Raw genomic sequence first — 21495 nt, forward strand, 5'->3', positions numbered from 1 at the left:
ACAACCAGGCATGATGGGTGGCCACATGGAAGGATGTGGGCTTTAGCAGTTTTTGTCAGTCCCACAGCTCCACTTCTGGGCTGGGGACATTGAGGCCAGCAGCCCTGACCTACGCTTATCACCCACAGATACCACTGCATCCCCACCCAGCGCATCCCCGAGCTCCAGCAGCCCCGCCTCCCCAGCTGCTGCTGGCCACACCCGCCCCAGCTCCCTGCACGGCCTGGCTGCCAAGCTTGGGCCACCCCGCCCCAAGACTGGCCGCCGCAAGTCCACCAGCAGCATCCCGCCCTCCCCGCTGGCCTGCCCGCCCATCTCCGCGCCCCCACCCCGCTCGCCCTCGCCCCTGCCCGGGCACCCGCCCGCACCTGCCCGATCCCCGCGGCTGCGCCGGGGCCAGTCAGCTGACAAGCTGGGCACAGGGGAGCGGCTGGATGGGGAGGCGGGGCGGCGCACTCGTGGGCCAGAGGCCGAGCTCGTGGTCATGCGGCGGCTGCACCTGTCCGAGCGCCGAGACTCCTTCAAGAAGCAGGAGGCCGTGCAGGAGGTTAGCTTCGATGAGCCGCAGGAGGAGGCCACTGGGCTGCCCACCTCAGTGCCACAGATCGCCGTGGAGGGCGAGGAAGCCGTGCCAGTAGCTCTCGGGCCCACCGGAAGAGACTGATCCCCTGCCAGGTCTCTCCCTGGCATCAAAGTTACGCGTTTTCTTGTGCAATGTTTTTTCCGTAAAGTCATGCCTGGATGGGGACTGAGCCACCAGCCTGACACCCAGAAGGCGAGAAGCCATCTCGGTCCTTGCTGGAAGGTGGAGACATCGCTTGTGTTCTGGTGTCAATCGGGGCTGGATGGGGCAAGAATGGGGGACAAGGGTGGCTTTGTAAATAGCAGCAAATCCCTGCAACTAATTTATTACTTTTTTTTTCTTTTTTTTTTTTTTTTTTTGAGACAGAGTCTCACTCTGTTGCCCGGGCTGGAGTGCAGCGGCGTGATCTCAGCTCACTGCAACCTCCGCCTCCCAAGTTCAAGCGATTGTCCTGCCTCAGCTTCCCAAGTGGCTGGGATTACAGGCGCCCACCACTATGCCCAGCTAATTTTTTGTATTTTTAGTACAGACGGGGTTTCACCATGTTGGTCAGGCTGGTCTCGAACTCCTGACCTCATGATTTGCCTGCCTTTGCCTCCCAAAGTGCTGGGATTACAGGCGTGAGCCACTGGGCCCAGCCTAATTTATTACTTTTTATAAGCGATAGCCGTACTGAGCCGCCCCCTGAAGGCGGCTGCCAGGTCTTGCCCCAGGCACCTGGGACTCTGTTTGCAGGCCCTGCCCTCTGGGCTGAGAAGGATGCACTTTGGACAAGTCATCTGTGTTTGTGTTTTCCAGTTTTTCTGTACTTTTTAAGTGTTTTGTGTTACCTGGTCTCATTCCCCTCCCCACACCTACCCATTTGAGGGGATGGAGTTGAAGTCACCTGGTCACCTGTACCGGCCCAGTTCGGCTACAACCTGGAGTGTCCGTAAACAATTCCTCTCACCCACAAAACAATGTAATCCCAGCGATGGACTGGATTCTGAAGGCCACTTCCCACCATCATAGCTGCCATGCCCAGGCAGTGCCTGCTCTATATATAGAGTCTGCCTCCAATCCTGCTGGCTTCAGCCTGGAGAAGGGATATGGGAGCTGGAGCTTTGATGGATGAATAGGTGTTCACCGGATCTGGGCAGAGGGGTCATCCGCTCCCCAGGTGGGCACTGATAAAGGAAGGTACAGGCCTCACCTGGAACTGCCAAGGCAGCCTCCAGAAATGCTCGGCTGTCTCGGGGCACGCTCCAGTATGCCAGTCCTGCGGGATTACGTCCAGCTACTTCCAGAAACACTCAGTGTCCCCTCCCCTCAGGCTCTGCCTTGGCCTGGCCTTGTCCAGTCTACCCTGGACAAGATGCCGTGTGTTTGAGGCCCAGCAGAGTAAGCCCTTGGCCGTGATGTGTCTGAAACACCTGTTAGGGGTTCCCTCCATATGTCAGAGCCTCTCTGGGATGAAGTTCAAGCCAGAAAACCCAGTCGAGGCTCAAGTTTGAATTTCAGCTTCACTGTGTGGCTCTGGGAAAATGGCTTTCCCACTCTGTGCCTCAGTTTCCTTGTGTTTACAAGACTAATCCCATTGACTGTTTATTAAGCACCTACTGTGTGCCAAGCGCTTTTACGTGGCTTCTCCCTCAGCCAGCCTTGAGAAGGCTGGAGGTGGTGTCATCACCTCCATTTTACAGACAAAGCAGCTGAGACCCCAGCGAGGGGCGGAGACCTGTCCCACGATCACCCAGCAGGAGTCGTGGCAGAACGGAGCATCAGCCAGACCCTGTTGTGGGCGTTGTCATCAAGGGAGCTTGAATGGAGGGTCTGGTGTCAGATACAGCCGACTCCAGCCCCAGCTCATCCCCCATGATGCTGTGTGACCCACTGGGCACTCTGGTGAGGGAGCTTTCCAGACATCAACAGCCCACTCTGCTTCCCTTTCTGAGTCCCCTGTCCAGCACTGCCTAGTGTTGGAGGGTAGACCAAGGCTGTGCATGATTCACCCCCTCCTTCCATCCTGGAGCTGGCAGTGAATAAAAGCCCGTATTTACAAAGATGAGCTCCAACGTCTGGATTTGTGAGGGGCTGAGAAAGGAGGAAGGGAAGAGTGGGGAGGGGAGCGGAGTGAAATAGACCCATGGCTCAAAGTCATTGCAAGTGGGTTTTGAGGACTGCATAGCAGTTCGCTGTTGAGATTCTTCCTGATGCCATCGCTGGTACCAGCCTCCTGCTACCCTCTCCCTGCGAGTACTCCATCATAGCCCTGCCTTTAAAAGCTTCCTCCAGACATCTGGGCCCTGAGCTATGTTTTTTATTTTTATGTTTTTGAGACAAGGTCTCGCTCTGTAACCCAGGTTGGAGTACAGTGGCGCAATCACGGCACATTGCAGCCTCGACCTCCTGGGCGCCCTGGGCTATGTTAATAAAATAAATAAGCGGCGGGGCGCGGTGGCTCACGCCTGTAATCCCAGCACTTTGGAAGGCCAAGGCGGGCGGATCTCCTGAGGTCGGGAGTTCCAAACCACCCTGACCAACATGGAGAAACCCCGTCTCTACTAAAAATACAAAATTAGCCGGGCGTGGTGGCGCATGCCTGTAATCCCAGCTGCTCGGGAGGCTGAGGCAGGAGAATCGCTTGAACTCGGGAGGTGGAGGTTGCGGCGAGCCGAGATAGCGCCATTGCACTCCAGCCTGGGCAACAAGAGCGAAACTCCGTCTCAAAAAATAATAACAAAATAAGCAATCGTCGCGTCCTTTCTATCCTGGTCTTAGCTTGCGCTCTGCCATAAAACTCCCTCTAGCCGAACCCGGCCCAGCCCTAGAGCAATCCGTTACTTCCGGGGCGCTCAGCCGGCATGCAAACACTCTTGGCTACAGCCCCATCTCCGAGTGCGTTCGGCTATTTCCGGAAACCGTCGGCATCTAGGCTCAAGTCCGCTAAATTCTAGTGCCCGTAGGGGTCGAGATCGTTGGCTGTTTCCGGACGCTCTGGGTTGCCATGGAAACTCCTTCAACCCTGGCTTTCTCCGACTTCTGCTTTTTGCGGCAGGCCCTTTCCCCACTCTACTGCCCCCTGTTTGCTGAGCTTGAGAACGCCTCATTTGTCCCCTGGAACCATCTATGCTTCAGTAATTCCCATAAGCTGGCGGTCGCCTCTGGGTCTAAACTCCCAAGGCCTCCATTGGGCACTGAGCACATTCGGTTATTTCCAGAAACGCTCCGCGGTCTTGGGGATCAGCCTCAGTTGTGCCAGTGCGGCCGTAGAGAGTGTTCGGCCATTTCCGAAAGCGCTCGGGCGTCTCTAAGCCCAGCCGAGCCCAGTCTCGGATCCCTCGCCGACCCGATTGCACTCGGCTACCTCTGGAAACGCTCGGCTGTCTCGGGGGCACCCTCTAGTCCACCAGTCCCGCGGGATTACGTTCGGCTACTTCCGGAAACACTCGGGTGCCCCCTTACCTCAGGCTCCGCCTCGGCCTCGGTTCATCCGCCCGGCTCGAATGCGCTCGGGCATTTCCGCCGGGGGCGGGCCAGGCCGCTCGGAACCGTGGCGGCGGCGGAGGCGGGGATCCCGCGGCTGCGGCGACGGTGGCCGCGGTGGAGCCACGGGGCGGGCTTGGCTTGGTGTGACGGCGGCTGCGGCGGCGGTGGCGGCCGCGACCAGGTGAGTCCTGACTGGCCCTCGTGGCGGGGGCGGCTGGGAGTGTGCTTAAATGCGGGGCGCCCGGGGGCAGTGCCGGGCCCCGGTGGAAGCCAGAACGCAAGCGCCAGGCTGCGTCGGGCCCCGCGGGAACTGGGGGGGCCGCAGGCAAGGGGGGGCCTCGGGCTCGGCTCCGCAGCGGTGCAGCCTCCTTGGGACGGTCGGGGCAGAATGGGGAGAGACTCCCCGCGTCCAAGATACCGGACTGGAGCCGAGGCCCCAAATGAAGGGAGGCCCTGCCTGGAATGGGGCTTCGAATAGTACCGAGGGGCGCCCAGGCATTGTGCGGGGCAGAATGGGGTGCGGGAGGGCCGGGGGTCGAACCCACTTCCGGTCCCCTAGCCGGGTGGCCGGGTCCACGCAGACCCAAGTGCGCGTCTGTGTGAGCGCTCAGGCCCTGCCTTCACCCGCGGAGCCCCCAGCCCTGCCTGCCCCGCCCCTCCCGCCTCCCGGATTCGGGGAGCGCTGCTCCCGGGGCGCGCACACCGGGGCGTGGGGGCGGGCTGGCAGGCAGATCCAGGCGGTTTTCTGGGCATCCCCTCTCGGGGCCTCAGTTTCCCCACCTGTAGAATGAGGGTAACAGAGGCCTAGGAATGGGTAAATTGGGCACCCGAGAATGTGGCGCCCCTCCGCCCTGCTCGGACACCTCTTGGGGTTCCCCGTGACTGAAGGATGCTCAGAGCCTCCACCTGACACTCGGGCCTCTTGGTGGATAGCACCTATCCTTATAGCCACCCTGAATCCTTGACAAGCAACTTAACCCACTGCCAAGGCTTTGCATGTGCCGTTCCGTCTGCCTGTCGCGCCTTCCTATCCGCTGTGATGATCCATTCTCTAGAACAGCACGTCCATCCCCCGACCCTAGCCCTGTCCATCACAGGGCGTCTGAACCCGCAGGGCTAGGCTGGGAATGTGTGCCTATCTCCGCCTCCCCAGGCTGGGACTCCTGGGGAATAATCAATGCCCTGCTGCCGGCAGCCTCCCCTCCTCCTCAGCTGCAGTACCCCCACCTTCTCCTGGCTCCCTGTCCCTGCCTGGGGCTAAGGTTCCTTCTAAGCACCTCCCCATCTGCATTTTGTGCCTACTCTGGGCCCCAGGCTGGAGCTACCTGCCAGCCCACTCACTCCTCCTCTGCAGAGACTGGAGGTCCATTTGCTTGGACTCACCTCGAGGCCTTTGCTTGTGTAGAGGCCTCTTCCTGGACTTTGTTCCCTACCTCTTAGTTCAGCTGGCCTGACCCCTCTATGGAGCTCCCAAAGCACCCGGAGTGGCCTCCATTGCGTCCTCCCTGCCCTAGGTATCTGGCCACCTGGCTGCTGCCCCCTCATGTCCAACTGGGCCAAGTCGGCAGATCTAGGTGTAAGTCCTGGCTTCCTCCTGGCCTACTGCACGGCCCTAGATACCTCCCTGCTCTGAGCCTCAGTTTCCCCATCTGTAACAGGGGTGATGAAAAGCCTGTTTACTGGCCGGGCGCGGTGGCTCACACCTGTAATCCCAACACTTTGGAAGGCAGAGGCAGGAGGACTGCTTCAGCCCAGGAGTTTGCGACCAACCTGGGCAACATAGCAAGACCCCACCTCTATTGGAAAAAAAAAAAAAAAGGCTGGGCAAGGTGGCTCATGCCTGTAATCCCAGCACTTTGGGAGGCCAAGGCGAGCAGATCACTTGAGGTCAGGAGTTCAAGACCAGCCTGGCCAACATGGTGAAACCTCGTCTCTACTAAAAATACAAAAATTAGCTGGGTGTGGTGGCCTGCTACTCGGGAGGCTGAGGCAGGAGAATTGCTTGAACCTGGGAGACAGGTTGCAGTGAGCTGAGATCACACCACTGCACTCCAGCCTGGGTGACAGAGCAAGACTCTATCTCAAAAAAAAAAAAAAAAAAAACTGATTTACTGAGCATGTAGTATACCTGGGGCAGGTTCTTGGGAACTCTACTCCCAGCAGCTCCAAGGGAAGGCTGTCAGTATACCCATTTTACAGATAGAGAAGCTGAGGCCCTGAGAGGGACCGGCCCCAAGGTCACCCAGTGATTCAGGGAATTCCAAATCAGGATTTGGGCCCATCTCCGTGTTGGGGGTGAGAGGAGTTGGCCTGGCTAACGCTGCCCTATCCCTGTCTCCCTAGGTCGGCGTCCTCAGCTGGCCGAGCATGGTGGCAGCCTGCACCCTTGGCTCCCTTGTCTGGTGCAGCCAGCAGAGCCGCCAGCCTTGGGCGCCCATGGCCCTCCGTGTGAGGGCGTGAGCGGCCTGCCCCAGCCTCACCTGCTGATGGAGGACTCAATGGCCCAGTGACCTGACACCACACCACCAACTCCCTCCCACCAGCTGACGAATGGTGGACCCAGTGACGAGTGGCCCTTGTAAGGGTCATGGAATAATTTGAAGCGAGGCATGAGCGGCCCCTGTGGTCGCCTGTGACTGCTGGAGATAGAGGTCCCAGCACCCCAAGCCAACCCAGCGGACCCTCCCAGCCCTGCTTCAACCAATGGGGCCAGTGGGGCTCCAAGCAGCCACCTAACCATCCAGACCCCACCCCACTCACGCGGCCATGGCGGGCCCTGAGGGCTTCCAGTACCGCGCTCTGTACCCGTTCCGCCGGGAGCGGCCGGAGGACCTGGAGCTGCTGCCCGGCGACGTGCTGGTAGTGAGCCGGGCGGCCTTGCAGGCGCTGGGCGTGGCCGAGGGTGGCGAGCGCTGCCCACAGAGCGTGGGCTGGATGCCCGGCCTCAACGAGCGCACACGGCAGCGAGGTGACTTCCCTGGCACCTATGTGGAGTTCCTGGGGCCCGTGGCCCTGGCCCGGCCCGGCCCTCGCCCACGGGGCCCCCGCCCACTGCCCGCCAGGCCCCGTGATGGGGCCCCTGAGCCAGGTGAGCAGCAAGCAGGGGCCCTGGAAAGGGGGGTGGTCCCCTCAGACCCTTGGTCTCCTCTTCTGTCCAGTGAGGCAATGGGATCTCCAAGGAAGGAGGAAAAAGGACATTTGGTCATTTGACAAGTGTCTTCAGTGCTAGGCTCAGCAGTGGACACAAGGCCTGTTCCTGCCCTCATGAGCTTCTGGTTCAAGAAGGGATGAGAGTGGGTTCAGGAGGTGACACATGCCATGAGGAAGGGGGCTTGCGTGGGAAGATGCGAGGGTGGAAGCTCAAGGCAGTGGGGGCAGCGAGGGCAGAGGCTGTGGAGTAGAACTCTAATGGCGGGAACGGCCAGCAGGAGGACCAGAGGGAGGAAGGGGAGGGCAATGTGCGCTGGCATGGAGGACTTAGTGGGATTGATTTTGAGGACAATGGAGAGTGTTCAGTAGGATTCAGAGGCTCAGCCTAGCTTCATCCTGCCTTTTGCAGACAGGGTCCCTTGAAGAACCCCTTTGGAGACCCTGATTTCCAAAATGAAGCCACAAGGAGGGTAGGATGTGGGCTGCTCAGCTGAGGCCACACAGCACAGTGGGATATGAGGACCCCACATCCCTCTTCAAAGACCCTTGGCCATCACCACTTGCCAGGGGTGTGCCAGGTGTAGAGAATCGGGGGCACCGAGCCCACTCAGTGACTGCTGTTTGATGGGCAGGGAGTGTGGGCTCTGGCCGGGGAAACTGTGGCCCAGGTTGCAAGGAGGAGGCTAAGAGGTGCTGCATGCTCGGCATGGTCTGCTCCGACCCTCCCAGCAGCCCAGCAAAAGGCCCTGTGTGCAGACCGGGAGGCCTGAGTGCAAGGCCGTCAAATGCCGTACTTGAAACCAGTTGGTCACCCAGGGAGGCCAAAGCCCCGGGAGGTGCCAGGCCTGCTTTGTGCCAGGGTGACATTGCCCAAAGGCAAACCAGAGTCCCCCAGCGCAGGGCGGAATAGGGGGTGCTGAGGTGGTGCGACGCTGGCCCCAGCCTCCAGGCATCTGGTATCTCCAGGGCCCAGGCCTGCGTCCTGCCTCGGCCTGAAGGAGCAGGAGGTGGCCCCGTCTGGGCTCCCAGCCAGAATCTGCCTCTCCCCCTGGTAACAGCCACCTCCCTCCTCTGCCTGGCCTCTGTCCAGCCACCATACACGGCCCCACGTGGGGCGGCTGCCCAGCCCCACCCTCTGAATCTTCCAGGGTTATGTGACCTCGGCCAGAACCCGCCCCCTCGAGGCCTCAGTTTCCTCATCTGGAAACAACAGGGTTGGTCCCTGGGGATGCTGGGACCCAACCCCTCGGAAATGTGCTGAAGTCACCTGAGCCCCACCTGGCTGTGCACCCACGGGGGAGGTTGCAGCCCCTCTGACCCACAATTCCTCACCTGCAAAGTCGGGGTGATGCAGTTCTGATGGGAACCCCCTCCCCATTCTGCAGATTGATCCCAGGCCACTCTCAGGGTTGAGTTTCCCAACCCACCGGCCAGAGTGTCACCCACCTCCACCTCCTCCTTGTCCTTTTCCTTTTTTTTTTTTTTTTTGGCGTTTTCGTTGCAGCTGGGCCTTTCTCCAGCTTGAGGCGCCACCTGGCCCATCACTCAGGGAGGCCCCGCAGGCCCCGGCTTGCCCCTGCTGTGTGCCAGGGCGTCCCCGCCGAGGGCCAGAGCAGCGTCCAATGGTGGCAGACAGCGAGCTGCTGAGGCGGGGATGCTGCACACAAAAGGCCCTGTAGTGCTGGGAAGCCAGGGCTGGGAGGGGGCTGGGCCCAGGATGCCGCCGGCACCCGCTAGGAGGGGTTTCAGCTTTTCCAAAAGGGGAGCAATAATTTTCTTTCTTTTCTAAATTTTAATTTGGGGAAGAAATAATTTTTTAGAAGCAAAATGATTAAGAAAACGGGTCATGGTCCTTGGAAGGAAGCTGTTCTGACCCAGGCCGGGATATTTTTCTTTTCTTTCCTTTCAACCACTTTTTTGTTTGCATCAAGAAGGGAGAAGCGGGCCGGGCACAGTGGTTCATGCCTGTAATCCCAGCACTTTGGGAGGCCAAGGCGGGTGGATCACTTGAGGTCAGGAGTTCAAGACCAGCCTGGCCAACAGGGTAAAACCCCATCTCTACTAAAATAATACAAAAATTAGCCAGGCATGGTGGCACCCACCTATAATTCCAGCTACTTAGGAGGCTAAGTCACGAGAATCGCTTGAACCCGGGAGATGGAGGTTGCAGTGATCCAAGATCATGCCACTGCACACCAGCCTGGGTGACAGAGCAAGACTCCATCTCAAAAAAACAACAACAACAACAACAACAAAAAACGAGGAGGCCAAGGCAAGTGGATCGTTAGGGGCCAGGAGTTTGAGGCTGCAGTGAGCTAGGATTGCGCCACTGCACTCCAACCTGGGTGACAAAGCAAGAACCTGTCTCAAAAAAAATGAGAGGCAATGTCATTGGCCCATTTTTCATTTGAAGGAACTGAGGCCCAGAGAGGGCAGGTCCTGTGGCCAAGATTGCACAGCAGGTTGTGGCAGAGCCCAAACCTGCTATATGACTTTCAGTGGCTGCCGCAAAAATTACCACCAACTAGGTGGCTTCAAACAATGGAAATGTTATTTATTAATTAATGTATCTTTTTGTTTTGTTTTGTTTTGTTTTGAGATGGAGTTTCGCTCTTGTCGCCCAGGCTGGAGTGCAATGGCGCAATCTTGGCTCCTGCAACCTCTGCCTCTCGGGTTCAAGCGATTCTCCTGCCTCAGCCTCCCGAGTAGCTGGGATTACAGGCACGTGCCACCACGCCTGGCTAATTTTTGTATTTCTAGTAGAGACAGGGTTTTACCATGTTGGTCAGGCTGGTCTCAAACTCCTGACCACAAGTGATATGCTCACCTCGGCCTCCCAAAGTGCTGGGATTATAGGAGTGAGCCACTGCGCCTGGCCTCCTTTTTTTTTTTTTTTTTTTAAATTATTTAAGAGATGGGGTCTCACTCTGTTGCCCAGGCTGGTCTTGAACTCCTGGACTCAAAGGATCCTCCTGCCTTGGCCTCCCAAAGTGTTGAGATTACAGACGTGAGCCTTTGCACCCCACCACAACAGAAACTTATTCTGTCATGTTTCTGGAGGCTGGAAGTCCAAAATCAGGGTCGTGCCCCCTCTGAAGTTTCCTTCCTTGCAGCTTCTGGTGCCTCCAGGCATTCATTCCTCTCATGCATGGGTTGATTATTCCAGTCTCTGCCTTGGCTTTCTCTTCTTTTTTTTGAGACAGAGTCTCACTCTGTCACCCAGACTGGAGTGCTATGGCATGATCTCAGCTCACTGCAACCTCCGCCTCCTGGGTTCAAGCAATTCCTGCCTCAGCCTCCTGAGTAGTTGGGATTACAGGTGCGCACCACCACACCTGGCTCATTTTTTTTTTGTATTTTTAGTAGAGATGGGGTTTCACCATGTTGGCCAGGCTGGTCTTGAACTCTTAACCTCAAGTGACCTGCTGGTCTCAGCCTCCCAAAGTACTAGGATTACAGGCATGAGCCACCGCACCCGGCCTGTTGACTTATTTTTGAAACGGAGTCTTGCTCTGTCGCCCAGGCTGGAGTGCAGTGGTGCAATCTTGGCTCACTGCAACCTCCGCCTCCCGGGTTCAAGCGATTCTCCTGCCTCAACCTCCCGAGTAGCTGGGATTACAGGCACCCACCACCACGCCCAGCTAATTTTTCTGATTTTAGTAGAGACAGGTTCGCCATGTTGGTCAGGCTGGTTCGAATTCCTGGCCTCAGGTGATCCACCCACCTCGGTCTCCCAAAGTGCTGGGATTCCAGGCTTGAGCCGCCATCCTGGCCGGCTTTCTCTTGTTACAAGGACATCAGCCAGTGGGTTTAGTGTCCACCCTAATGCCAGGCTGGTCTCATGTACAGATTCTTGCTTTCCTTACACCTGCAAAGACCTATTTCCAAATAAGGTCACAGGTACCAGGGATGAGGACTTGGACATATCTTTTTGGGGACTTTATTCAGCGCACTCCACCTAGTCTGTGAAGTTGTGTGAACTCCTCATATTCTAACCCAGAAAATTGTGTCCCATCAATTCTGCCCTTTCCCAGCCCCTCCACCCAAGGTCTTGCAGCCTCCTGCGGATGGGAGTCAAGGTGCCAAGCACTTGCCTGAGCTGGGCCCTGCCTCAAACTGCCCCAGCTGAGGTTCAGCCAGCAAAGAGAGGGGCTGGGCTCCTTCCAGGAACCCCACCAACATGCAACCCCCCTGTTTCCCCCACCAGGCCTCACACTCCCCGACTTGCCCGAGCAGTTCTCCCCACCTGATGTGGCTCCCCCTCTTCTGGTGAAGCTTGTGGAGGCCATTGAAAGGACAGGTAAGTTCCAGCCTGGCTGCAGCCCCTGGATTCTGCTTGCTTACCTCTAGTGACAGGCGACTCATCCTCTCACAGGGCCTCCAAGCTCATGCTGCACGGAAACAGGCTGAGCCTGGATGCCCTGGGCCTCTATGTTGAATAGGGCACAGAGTGACTCCTAAGGGAAGATGGGAAGGTGAACATGACCAGGCCACTGCATGTGCTGTGCCCTCTCCCAGTTCTCCCTCCCCACCCCTCCCATGCCCTTATCTCTGGGCAGCAAAGGGAGACTGCAGGGGGGTTGAGCGGCCAGTCCAGGCCTCACGAGGTCGGGGCAGCATTTGAGAGCTGACTCGCCTGTCCCCTTCACCCCCAGGGCTGGACAGCGAATCTCACTACCGCCCGGAGCTGCCCGCACCGCGTACAGGTGAAGGGGAGCCTCAATGGGGTTGGGAGGAGGCTGGGGGCCCCAGTACACATGAGTTGGACGTGTGCCCCCCTGCACCCGCAGACTGGTCCCTGAGCGACGTGGATCAGTGGGACACGGCAGCCCTGGCTGACGGCATTAAGAGCTTCCTGCTGGCACTGCCCGCGCCGCTCGTGACCCCCGAGGCCTCGGCCGAGGCGCGCCGGGCCCTGCGGGGTGAGCCTGGCGGGTAGCCCGGGGGAAGGAGGGGGCTGTAGCGGGTGGGAGGGCCCAGGCCTGGCTCACCCTGCCCTGGCCATCTGTCCGCAGAGGCCGCGGGGCCCGTGGGGCCGGCGCTGGAGCCACCGACGCTGCCGCTGCACCGCGCGCTCACGCTGCGCTTCCTGCTCCAGCACCTGGGCCGCGTGGCCAGCCGCGCCCCGGCCCTGGGTCCCGCGGTCCGGGCCCTGGGCGCCACCTTTGGGCCGCTGCTGCTGCGCGCGCCGCCGCCGCCGTCCTCGCCGCCGCCAGGGGGCGCTCCCGACGGGTGAGGGGCGGGGCGGAGCCGGAGCGAGCAGGGGTGGAGTTTGGGGTGGGGCGGGCGGGGCATGGCCAGAGTGAGCGGCGTCTAGACCCTAAGAAGGGAGGGGATGGGGTCCAGAGTGAGAAGCTGCGTTCTTGTGATGACGGAGCGGAGACCTGGGCTCCTGAGTCGTGGGACAGAAGGTGAAGGGGCCTAGTCCCGAAGCATGTGGGTGGTGCCTGCACCTTCCCTTCTGCTCGTCGCAGCTCCGGTACTGGTCTCTCGCTCGCCTTTGTGTGAGAATCTATGGAGCACTTACTGCATACAGCTATGAGGGAGCTGGCCTCGCACATGTGCCTGTATCATCTCCTCCTCCGCCCTGCACATACTGTCTCGTATATACCCCCAGGCGTGCAAGCGCACGCACAATCCTGTGCACATGCGTGGGCGGACAGGCCCTACCCAGCCCTCACCACACTCCCCTTCCCCCTAAGGAGTGAGCCCAGCCCTGACTTCCCGGCGCTGCTGGTGGAGAAGCTGCTTCAGGAACACTTGGAAGAGCAGGAGGTTGCGCCCCCAGGTGAGTCCCCTGTATTGCTGTCATTTCTTCCCGTTGGGGGCCGTAAATACTGATCCCTGAGTGCTGCCGGCATCAGCAGGCTGGTTGCAGTGGGAGGCAGCCACAGTATACAGTCGGTGCTCAGGATGCATTTGTTTTCCTGTCCCCCAGCGCTGCCGCCTAAACCCCCCAAGGCAAAGCCGGCCTCCACAGTCCTGGCCAATGGAGGGAGCCCACCCTCCCTGCAGGATGCTGAGTGGTACTGGGGGGACATTTCAAGGTAGGTTGCTGGCAGGGGGCCAGGGACCAAGGAGGTGTCACAGGGTGAGCGGGGTCTCCAGGTGGCTCGGCAGTCCCAATGTTGGATGTTCCCACAGGGAGGAGGTGAACGAGAAACTCCGGGACACTCCCGATGGCACCTTCCTAGTCCGAGATGCTTCTAGCAAGATCCAGGGCGAGTACACGCTGACCCTCAGGTGGGGGCCTGTCCCTGCAAGGATAACCGGGGGTCACAGGTCACAGAGACCGGGAGTTCAGAGGGGATAGAACATGTGCGGTTTCAAGAATGGAGGGCCAGGCACGGTGGCTTACACCTGTAATCCCAGCACTTTGGGAGGCTGAGGCTGGCAGAACACCTGAGGTCAGGAGTTTAAAACCAGCCTGGCCAACATGGTGAAACCCCGTCTCTACTAAAAAATTAAAAAAAAAAATTAGCCAGGCATGGTGATGGATGCCTGTAATCCCAACTACTCGGGAGGCTGAGGCAGGAGAATTGCTTGAACCCGGGAGGTGGAGGTTGCAGTGAGCCGAAATCGCACCACTGCACTGCAGCCTGGACAACAGAGCAGCAAGACTCTGTCTCAAAAAAAAAGGGGACAGGGATTGAGGGTCAGGTGCGGGGTCCCACTGGGTGCCGACACCCCTCTCCTCCCCCAGGAAAGGCGGGAACAATAAGCTGATCAAGGTCTTCCACCGAGATGGGCACTATGGCTTCTCAGAGCCACTCACCTTCTGCTCCGTTGTGGACCTCATCAATCACTACCGCCACGAGTCTCTGGCCCAGTACAATGCCAAGCTGGACACACGGCTCCTCTACCCTGTGTCCAAATACCAGCAGGTCCGTGCTGGCCTGGGAGCCAGGGAGGGTAGCACCTGGCTGGCCCCAGGCCTCAGTTTCCTAGGTAGACCCGACCAGGCTATGCATCTCCCCTCATTCCGCCACGTATCTCCAGGACCAGATTGTCAAGGAGGACAGCGTGGAGGCAGTGGGCGCCCAGCTTAAGGTCTATCACCAGCAGTACCAGGACAAGAGCCGCGAGTATGACCAGCTTTATGAAGAGTACACACGGACCTCCCAGGTACTCCAGGCCCCGTACATGAGGGAAACCGAGACATAGAGGGGCAGTGGCAAGGCCGGGAGCAGGATGACCAACCCCAGAGGACTTGAGGATGAATATCCAGTTGCAGGTCACAGAGCAGGCACTTAGCACCAAGGGCTGTTCTAAAAACATAGAAATAAGGCCAGGCACAGTGGCTCCCGTCTGTGTACTTGGGAGGCAGAGACAGGAGGATCACTTGAGCCCAACAGTTCAAGATCCTTCTAGGCAACATAGGGAGACCCGTCTACAAAAAAATTTAAAAATTAACTGGGTGTCGTGGTGCATGCTTCTACTCCCAGCTACTCAGGAGGCTGAGGTGGGAGGATCCCTTGAGCCTGGGAGTTTGAGGCTGCATTGAATTGTGATCATGCTGCTGCACTCCAGCCTGGGTGACAGGGCACGACCTTGTCTCTAAAAACAGAAATAAGCGTACGAGGCTGGGTGGGGTGGCTCACGCCTGTAATCCCAGCACTTTGGGAGGCCGAGATGGGTGGATCACCTGAGGTCAGGAGTTCGAGACCAACTTGGCCAACATGTTGAAACCCTGTCTCTACTAAAAATACAAAAATTAGCTGGGCATGGTGGCGGACGCCTGTAATCCCAGCTACTCAGAGGCTGAGGCAGGAGAATCGCTTGAGCCTGGGAGGCAGAGATTGCAATGAGCCAAGATCGTGCTACTACACTCCAGCCTGGGTGACAAGAGTAAAACTCCATCTAAAAAAATAATAATAATTAAAATAAAAAAATAAGTGTACAAGCTTTTACAAAACCAAAAAAGGACAGATGAGAAGGGCCCAACCAGCCTCACAGGAGTGGCTGAGCCAGGACCTGGGGAGTGTCCAGGATGAGCCTATCTCCGGCTGGCCCTCAGTTTTCCCATCTGCAGAATGGAACCAGGCACCTTGATTACTTATGTCCCCTTCAACCAAGATGTTATTCAAAATGAAATCATGCCAGGTGCAGGGCGCGCACCTCTAATCCCAGCTACTCGGAAGGCTGAGGCGGGAGGATCGCTTGAGCCCAGGAGTTCAAGACTAGCCTGGGTAACATAGCAAGACTTTGTCTCTTAAAAAAATAAAATAAAAATTAAGTGAAAGGTTTTGTCACTCAAGGACTGTGCTAATAAGCTTCTTTTGCAAGTTAAGAGGGAATAGATTCAGGTGGAACAGCTGGGAATTCCTCAGTCGTCCCTAGTACCCTAAGGGTTTTCTGTCCTCTTTTTTTTGTTTTGTTTTTTTTTTTTTGAGACAGTGTCTTGCTCTGTCATCCAGGCTAGAGTGCTGTGGCATGATCTCAGCTCACTGCAACCTCCGCCTCCCTGGTTCAAGCGATTCTCCTGCCTCAGCCTCCCAAGTAACTGGGACTACAGGCACGTGCCACCATGCCTGGCTAATTTTTGTATTTTTAGTAGAGATGGGGTTTTGCTGTGTTGGCCAGGCTGGTCTCGAACTCCTGGCCTCAAGTGATCTGGCTGCCTCGGCCTCCCAAAGTTAAAAAAAAAAAAAGAAAAAAAAAATTTAATAAAATTAAAAGGTAGGCCGGGCACAGTGACTCATGCCAGTAATCCCAGCACTTTGGGAGGCCGAGGCAGGCAGATCATCTGAGGTCAGGAGTTTGAGACCAGCCTGGCCAACATGGTGAAACCCCATCTCTACCAAAAAGATAAAAAAATTAGCCGAGCCAGGCACAATGGCTCAAGCCTGTAATCCCAGCACTTTGGGAGGCTGAGGCAGGTGGATCACGAGGTAAGGAGTTCAAGACCAGTCTGGCCAACATGGTGAATCCCTGTCTCTACTAAAAATACAAAAAATTAGGCGTCATGGCATGCACCTGTAATCGCAGCTACTCAAGAGGCTGAGGCAGGAGAATAGCTTGAACCTGAGAGGTGGAGGTTGCAGTGAGCCGAGATCACACCATTGCACTCCATCCTGGGACAGAGTGAGACTCCGTCTCAAAAAAAAAAAAAAAAAAAAAATTAGCCGGGCATGGTGGCTCACACCTGTAATACCAGCTACTTGGAAGGCTGAGGCAGGAGAATCACTTGAACCCAAGAGGCAGAGGTTGCAGTGAGCCAAGATCACGCCACTGCTCCAGCCTGGGCGACAAGAGCAAGACTCCATCTCAAACAAAAAAAATTTTGAGGTGCTGTCTCACCATGTTGCCCAGGCTGGCCTCAGACTCCTCAGGGTTCAAGAGATCCTCCCACTTTAGCCTCCCTACTAGCTGGGATTACAGGCATTCGCCACCACCCCTGGCCTCTGTCCCCTTTTTACTGATGTGTTAGCTGAGGCTCTAAATGGACAAGACAGTTGTCCAGGATCAGTTAGGAGCACTGTAACCTCAGAATTGACTTTGGCCCTGAGCCTCAGTTTCTCTGTTAATAGTTGTTACTTTGTTAGGGGTTGTTGGAAGGGTCCATGGGACAAAGTAAGGAAAGTCGTAGTGCGGCATCTCCCCCAAGAAGCCCTGTGAGCTGTAGCAACTAGATCTGTCATTCATTCTTAGCAGTGTTAACAGGTCCAGGTGTTTGTGGATACCTATAGGAGGATGTAAAGAAGAAGAGGGTTTGGGGGGTGGGGTTTTGAAGGCTGAATAGGAGTTCATTTGGTGCAGCAGGCGTTAGAAGAATGACACTCTGATAGAGGGACCAGCTTGAGCAGTCTCCGTATCAGAGTTGAGATGTGCCTTTACCCCTCACGAGGGCCTTTTGGGGAGTCCCAGGAGGTGCTGAGCTGCGCCCCCTCCTCCAGGAGCTGCAGATGAAGCGTACTGCAATTGAGGCCTTCAATGAGACTATCAAGATCTTTGAAGAGCAGGGCCAGACTCAAGAGAAATGCAGCAAGGAATACCTGGAGCGCTTCCGGCGTGAGGGCAACGAGAAAGAGATGCAAAGGTGAGTCTGGCGCCTCTGCCCTGCCCCACCCCACCCTGATCTGGTGCAGTACAAGCCAGGGAGGGAAGGAAGCAGAAGGAGGCCAGCCACTTGGAGGCAAAGAGTAGTCTGTTGAAATGGACTTTGGGCCTGGTGCGATGGCTCAGGCCTGTAATCCCAGCACTTTAGGAGGCCGAGGCGGGTGGATCTCCTGAGGCCAGGAGTTTGAAACCAGCCTGGCCAACATGGTGAAACCCTGTCTCTATTAAAAATACAAAAATTAGCTAGGCATGATGGTGCGCACCTGTAGTCCCAGCTACTTGGGAGGCTGAGGCAGGAGAATCGCTTGAACCTGGAGTTGGAGGTTGCAGTGAGCCGAGATTGCACCACTGCACTCCAGCTTGGGTGACAGAGAAAGACTGTCTCAAAAAAAAAAAAAAAAAAGAAATGGGCTTTGAAGGATGAATAGGAGTTTGCTAGAAAGAGAAATCAGAGGAAACAGCATATGCACAGGCTCAGAGGCTGGAAGCACATAGTCTGGTGCAAAGTAGGTCCTTGAGAAAACCCTGGAGGCCGGGTGCAGTGGCTCATTCCTGCAACCCCAACACTGTGGGAGGCTGAGGCAGGAGGATTGCTTGATCCCAGGAGTTTGAGACCAGCCTGGGCAACATGGCAAAATCTACCTCTACAAAAAATATTAAAATGTTAGCCAGACATGGTGGTGCACACCTGTGGTCCCAGCTACTCGGGAGGCTGAGGTAGGAGGGTCACCTGAGCCCAGGAGTTTGAGGGTGCAGTGAGCCGAGATAAAACCCTGAGGTCTCTGCGCCACCCCACCCCTCCCACAGGATCCTGCTGAACTCCGAGCGGCTCAAGTCCCGCATTGCCGAGATCCATGAGAGCCGCACGAAGCTGGAGCAGCAGCTGCGGGCCCAGGCCTCGGACAACAGAGAGATCGACAAGCGCATGAACAGCCTCAAGCCGGACCTCATGCAGCTGCGCAAGATCCGAGACCAGTACCTCGTGTAAGTGGCGGCTCCATACTTCCCTGCGGCTCCCTGGCGACTGCTGCGGCACATGGAGATCTCTCTAGGAGTCTCAGTCTCTCTCTCTCCACCAAGTGGCCCTTCCTGGGCCCCGAGACCCCTTAAACTCGGTTCCTCCCGGGCCCCTTGAAAGTTTTCCCATAGGTCAGCCTCAGCTTAGTCAGAGGTGTGTGCAATGGGAGTGTCACTCCTATCCCATTCCATTTTGTGGAAAGTTGGAAGCCTTCCACAAAAATTCCTGCTGGGCTGGGCGCAATGGCTCACACCTGTAATCCCAGCACTTTGGGAGGCTGAGGCGGGCAGATGGATCACTTGAGGCCAGGAGTTCAAGACCAGCCTGGCCAACATGGTGAAACCCCGTCTCTACTAAAAATAAAAAATACAAAACCCGGCCAGGCATGGTGGTGGGCGCCTGTAATCCCAGTTACTCAAGAGGCTGAGGCAGGAGAATCACTTGAACGGGGAGGTGGAGTTTGCAGTGAGCAGAGATTATGCCAATGCAGTTCAGCCTGGGCAACAGAGCAACACTCTGCCTCAGAAAAGAAAAGAAAAAAAAAATCGCCTGCTGTGCAACCTACCATGCTGGGTGGCTGCGGCAGCCCTGTCCTGGGTTCAAATCAGTTCAAATCCTGCCCCCACCCACCAACCTCCTGAAGACCTCAGCCAGAGCCTCCACCTCCCTCTTGGGCCTCAGGGAGGGCACTGTCGCGTGCCAGGTGCTGTGCTAAGCACCGTGCTCGTTATGAGTTCATTTGGTCCTTTTCAAGCCCTTTGTAAAGTTTGCCCTTTACAGCTGGGGAGACTGAGGCACAGAACCGACAGCTGCCCTGTGCAAAGGCCAGCAGTGCTGGAGTGAGCCTCTGGTGATGATGAGGGGCCTGGGCTGGCATCTTCTTGGGGGACTCCATAGGCGTTAACAGAAACAAAAAAATGAGGGGTGTGGGTCAGGGTTCCCCAGCAGAGCTGGGCGAGCCACCCTGGGTTCAGGCTGCCCTGAGCCAGGTCAGCTCTGCCCTCTTGTGGCAACCGGAGATATTGTACCCAGAACCCTCTCTCCTCAGCCAGACCCTGCCTCCCACCGGACAGGCCCACTGTGGGCTCAGCACCCACACAACTGCACAAGCCCACCTTTCCTGTTCCTTCTCAGGTGGCTCACCCAGAAAGGCGCCCGGCAGAAGAAAATCAACGAGTGGCTGGGGATTAAAAATGAGACTGAGGAGTGAGTGACCGTCTGGAGGGAGGCAGGGAGGGCTTCCCAGAGGAGGGGGCCATTTGGGGTGGGTTTCGAAGAATGAGTAGGAGTTCACCAGGGAGGAAAAGTTGTCCAGGCAGCTGGGGAGCCTCGGAGGCTGGCAGGTGAGTGACCAGGGCCCTCCCCGCCACCGCCCCCCACCCCAGCCAGTACGCACTCATGGAGGACGAGGACGATCTCCCGCACCACGAGGAACGCACTTGGTACGTGGGCAAGATCAACCGCACGCAGGCAGAGGAGATGCTGAGTGGCAAGCGGGATGGCACCTTCCTCATCCGCGAGAGCAGCCAGCGGGGCTGCTACGCCTGCTCCGTGGTGTGAGTGGACCGCAGCGGTGGGGATTCCCGCGTCCCTCCCAGAGCTCTCATTGAATGCCTGCCGCGTGCCAGGCCTTGGGAAGGAGTCCCTGGTGGGGTCATCCGGGACAGGGGAGCACGCGGCCCTGGAACGGGGAAAGCTTGGCGGGGAGGCCAGCCTTCCGACTCCCCCTCTCGTCTGCCCCCACAGAGTGGACGGCGACACCAAGCACTGCGTCATCTACCGCACGGCCACCGGCTTCGGCTTCGCGGAGCCCTACAACCTGTACGGGTCGCTGAAGGAGCTGGTGCTGCACTACCAGCACGCCTCGCTGGTGCAGCACAACGACGCGCTCACCGTCACCCTGGCGCACCCAGTGCGCGCCCCGGGCCCCGGCCCGCCGCCTGCCGCCCGCTGAGCACCGAGGACCCGCCCCAAGCAGAGCCGCCCCTGGGCCCGTCTGCGCCGGAGGCTGCGGCGGCGGGAGCCACGGACCAGACCAGCCACATCCAGGGGTCCTCATTTCTCCGGCTCTGGCTCTTGTTTGGGGTTCTCTCACCCTCTTTCTCTTTCCTTCCCTCCCCCATTCTCCAGATCTCCCTCTGTCTCCTTTTCTCTGTCTTTCTTGGCCCCTGTCTCTCTCCATGTTGGGGGTCCTAACTCCCCCACCCCATATCTACGTGTCCTCCGGGCATTGCCCTCTCCATGGCTCTGGTCACCCTGACCCTCTGCCCTGCCCACCGCAGGTCCCCCGGGGTCCCGGAAGCCCCTTCTGGCTGCACCTGCCATGTTTACAGAGGGCCCCTGGGCTGCGCGGCCCCAGCCTGGGCACCCTGATTTTTAAGCCATAGACCTGGGGTCAGGGCAGGAAGGAACTTCACTCTGCTGCTTCCGAGAACCTCGGCCGTGACATTCGGGGCCGGGCGGGACCCGCCCCACAGACTCCAACTTCCCCTCCAAACCCCGAAGTGAAACCCGCCACCGGGTTACCCCCACAAGGGGGCCGCTGCGAGAAGTTCACCCACCCCCGAAAAAATAATTAAACTCGCAGGCCAGGCACGGTGGCTCATGCCTGTAATCCCAGCACTTTGGGAGGCCAAGACGGGCGGATCTTTTGAGGTCGGGAGTTGGAGGCCAGCCTGGCCAAAATGGCAAAACCCCGCATCTACTAAAATACAAAAATTAGCCGGGCGTGGTGGCGGCCGCCTGTAATCCCAGCTACTTGGGAGGCTGAGGCGTGAGAATCTCTTGAACCCAGGAGATGGAGGTTGCAGTGAGCAGAGATCGTGCCACTGCACTCCAGCCTGGGTAACAGAGGGAGACTCCTCCGTCTCAAAAAAATAAATAAATAAACTTGTGAGCTGGCCCCAACCCCTCCTAGGAATCACAGCTCCCCGTACTGGTGCCGCCGCAGTGGCCAAGTTGCGACACTGCCCACGGCCCCTCCCTCTGATGCAGATTCAGGGCTTCTCTTCGATCATGTTGGGTTTTGATTCTGTTTTTCCTTGACTGCAAAACCCTCTTTCCTCTCCTCTTTTGGGACAAGAGCCCTGGTTTTCTACGCTGCCCTTGGCCACCACACTGCCTGCCCCACGAGCTGGGAGGCAGGTTTTGTACGGTACGTTGTTATTGATATGATATAAAACATCAAACGTCGTGGGTGATTCTGTTGTCAGTGACT

The 21495-nt window shown here is 57.6% G+C and overlaps 2 protein-coding genes across 45 annotated transcripts in view, besides 11 other annotated features; both read left to right on the forward strand.

The window, feature by feature from the left end:
• MAST3 (microtubule associated serine/threonine kinase 3) overlaps positions 1–2625 on the forward strand; it is a 53910-nt gene extending 51285 nt beyond the window's left edge. For all 42 annotated transcript variants that reach the window (NM_001393501.1, XM_047438476.1, NM_001393502.1 and 39 more), the window contains one exon: positions 129–2625. In NM_001393501.1, coding sequence (NP_001380430.1) covers positions 129–664 — 536 coding nt within the window. In that variant the 3' untranslated portion in view covers positions 665–2625. The remainder of the gene's footprint in view (positions 1–128) is intronic.
• Positions 2852–2931: an enhancer, noted in NCBI's record as "active region_14300". NCBI's record gives its function as "activates an Ori minimal core promoter by ATAC-STARR-seq in GM12878 lymphoblastoid cells {active_cell/tissue: GM12878}" and the evidence as "EXISTENCE:reporter gene assay evidence [ECO:0000049][PMID:35858748]".
• Positions 3474–4366: an enhancer, noted in NCBI's record as "NANOG-H3K27ac-H3K4me1 hESC enhancer chr19:18263346-18264238 (GRCh37/hg19 assembly coordinates)". NCBI's record gives its function as "activates a minimal SCP1, AML or CMV promoter by ChIP-STARR-seq in naive H9 embryonic stem cells {active_cell/tissue: H9 hESC(naive)}" and the evidence as "EXISTENCE:reporter gene assay evidence [ECO:0000049][PMID:30033119]".
• Positions 3474–4441: a biological region, named in NCBI's record as "NANOG-H3K27ac-H3K4me1 hESC enhancer GRCh37_chr19:18263346-18264238".
• Positions 3672–3951: an enhancer, noted in NCBI's record as "active region_14301". NCBI's record gives its function as "activates an Ori minimal core promoter by ATAC-STARR-seq in GM12878 lymphoblastoid cells {active_cell/tissue: GM12878}" and the evidence as "EXISTENCE:reporter gene assay evidence [ECO:0000049][PMID:35858748]".
• Positions 4062–4441: a silencer, noted in NCBI's record as "silent region_10373". NCBI's record gives its function as "represses an Ori minimal core promoter by ATAC-STARR-seq in GM12878 lymphoblastoid cells {active_cell/tissue: GM12878}" and the evidence as "EXISTENCE:reporter gene assay evidence [ECO:0000049][PMID:35858748]".
• On the forward strand, positions 4101–21470 carry PIK3R2 (phosphoinositide-3-kinase regulatory subunit 2). Of its 3 annotated transcripts, none has more exons than NR_073517.2 (16): positions 4101–4232; positions 6395–7139; positions 11409–11501; positions 11857–11907; positions 11992–12123; positions 12217–12433; positions 12904–12989; positions 13140–13248; positions 13346–13444; positions 13905–14085; positions 14201–14326; positions 17049–17240; positions 18068–18244; positions 19413–19484; positions 19664–19834; positions 20025–21470. NR_073517.2 is itself a non-coding variant. In NM_005027.4 (16 exons), the coding sequence occupies exons 2-16, from the start codon at positions 6818–6820 to the stop codon at positions 20230–20232; spliced, it is 2187 nt and encodes a 728-aa protein (NP_005018.2). In that variant the 5' UTR covers positions 4101–4232; positions 6395–6817; the 3' UTR covers positions 20233–21470. The 3 variants fall into 3 exon arrangements, 1 of the variants encoding a protein (NP_005018.2); NM_005027.4 differs by having other exon boundaries at positions 17098–17240; NR_162071.1 differs by lacking the exon at positions 12217–12433 and having other exon boundaries at positions 17098–17240; positions 19413–19488.
• Positions 4752–4971: a silencer, noted in NCBI's record as "silent region_10374". NCBI's record gives its function as "represses an Ori minimal core promoter by ATAC-STARR-seq in GM12878 lymphoblastoid cells {active_cell/tissue: GM12878}" and the evidence as "EXISTENCE:reporter gene assay evidence [ECO:0000049][PMID:35858748]".
• Positions 7564–8422: an enhancer, noted in NCBI's record as "H3K27ac-H3K4me1 hESC enhancer chr19:18267436-18268294 (GRCh37/hg19 assembly coordinates)". NCBI's record gives its function as "activates a minimal SCP1, AML or CMV promoter by ChIP-STARR-seq in naive H9 embryonic stem cells {active_cell/tissue: H9 hESC(naive)}" and the evidence as "EXISTENCE:reporter gene assay evidence [ECO:0000049][PMID:30033119]".
• Positions 10330–10534: a silencer, noted in NCBI's record as "fragment chr19:18270202-18270406 (GRCh37/hg19 assembly coordinates)". NCBI's record gives its function as "represses an EF-1alpha promoter that drives an FKBP-Casp9 reporter gene in an ReSE screen in phorbol 12-myristate 13-acetate-treated (for megakaryocytic differentiation) K562 erythroleukemia cells {active_cell/tissue: K562(+PMA)}" and the evidence as "EXISTENCE:reporter gene assay evidence [ECO:0000049][PMID:32094911]".
• Positions 11318–11867: an enhancer, noted in NCBI's record as "H3K27ac-H3K4me1 hESC enhancer chr19:18271190-18271739 (GRCh37/hg19 assembly coordinates)". NCBI's record gives its function as "activates a minimal SCP1, AML or CMV promoter by ChIP-STARR-seq in naive H9 embryonic stem cells {active_cell/tissue: H9 hESC(naive)}" and the evidence as "EXISTENCE:reporter gene assay evidence [ECO:0000049][PMID:30033119]".
• Positions 12026–12525: a silencer, noted in NCBI's record as "silent region_10375". NCBI's record gives its function as "represses an Ori minimal core promoter by ATAC-STARR-seq in GM12878 lymphoblastoid cells {active_cell/tissue: GM12878}" and the evidence as "EXISTENCE:reporter gene assay evidence [ECO:0000049][PMID:35858748]".
• Positions 19372–19521: an enhancer, noted in NCBI's record as "active region_14302". NCBI's record gives its function as "activates an Ori minimal core promoter by ATAC-STARR-seq in GM12878 lymphoblastoid cells {active_cell/tissue: GM12878}" and the evidence as "EXISTENCE:reporter gene assay evidence [ECO:0000049][PMID:35858748]".

This window comes from Homo sapiens, chromosome 19 (genome assembly GCF_000001405.40).
Source record: "Homo sapiens chromosome 19, GRCh38.p14 Primary Assembly".
Lineage (NCBI taxonomy): Eukaryota > Metazoa > Chordata > Mammalia > Primates > Hominidae > Homo > Homo sapiens.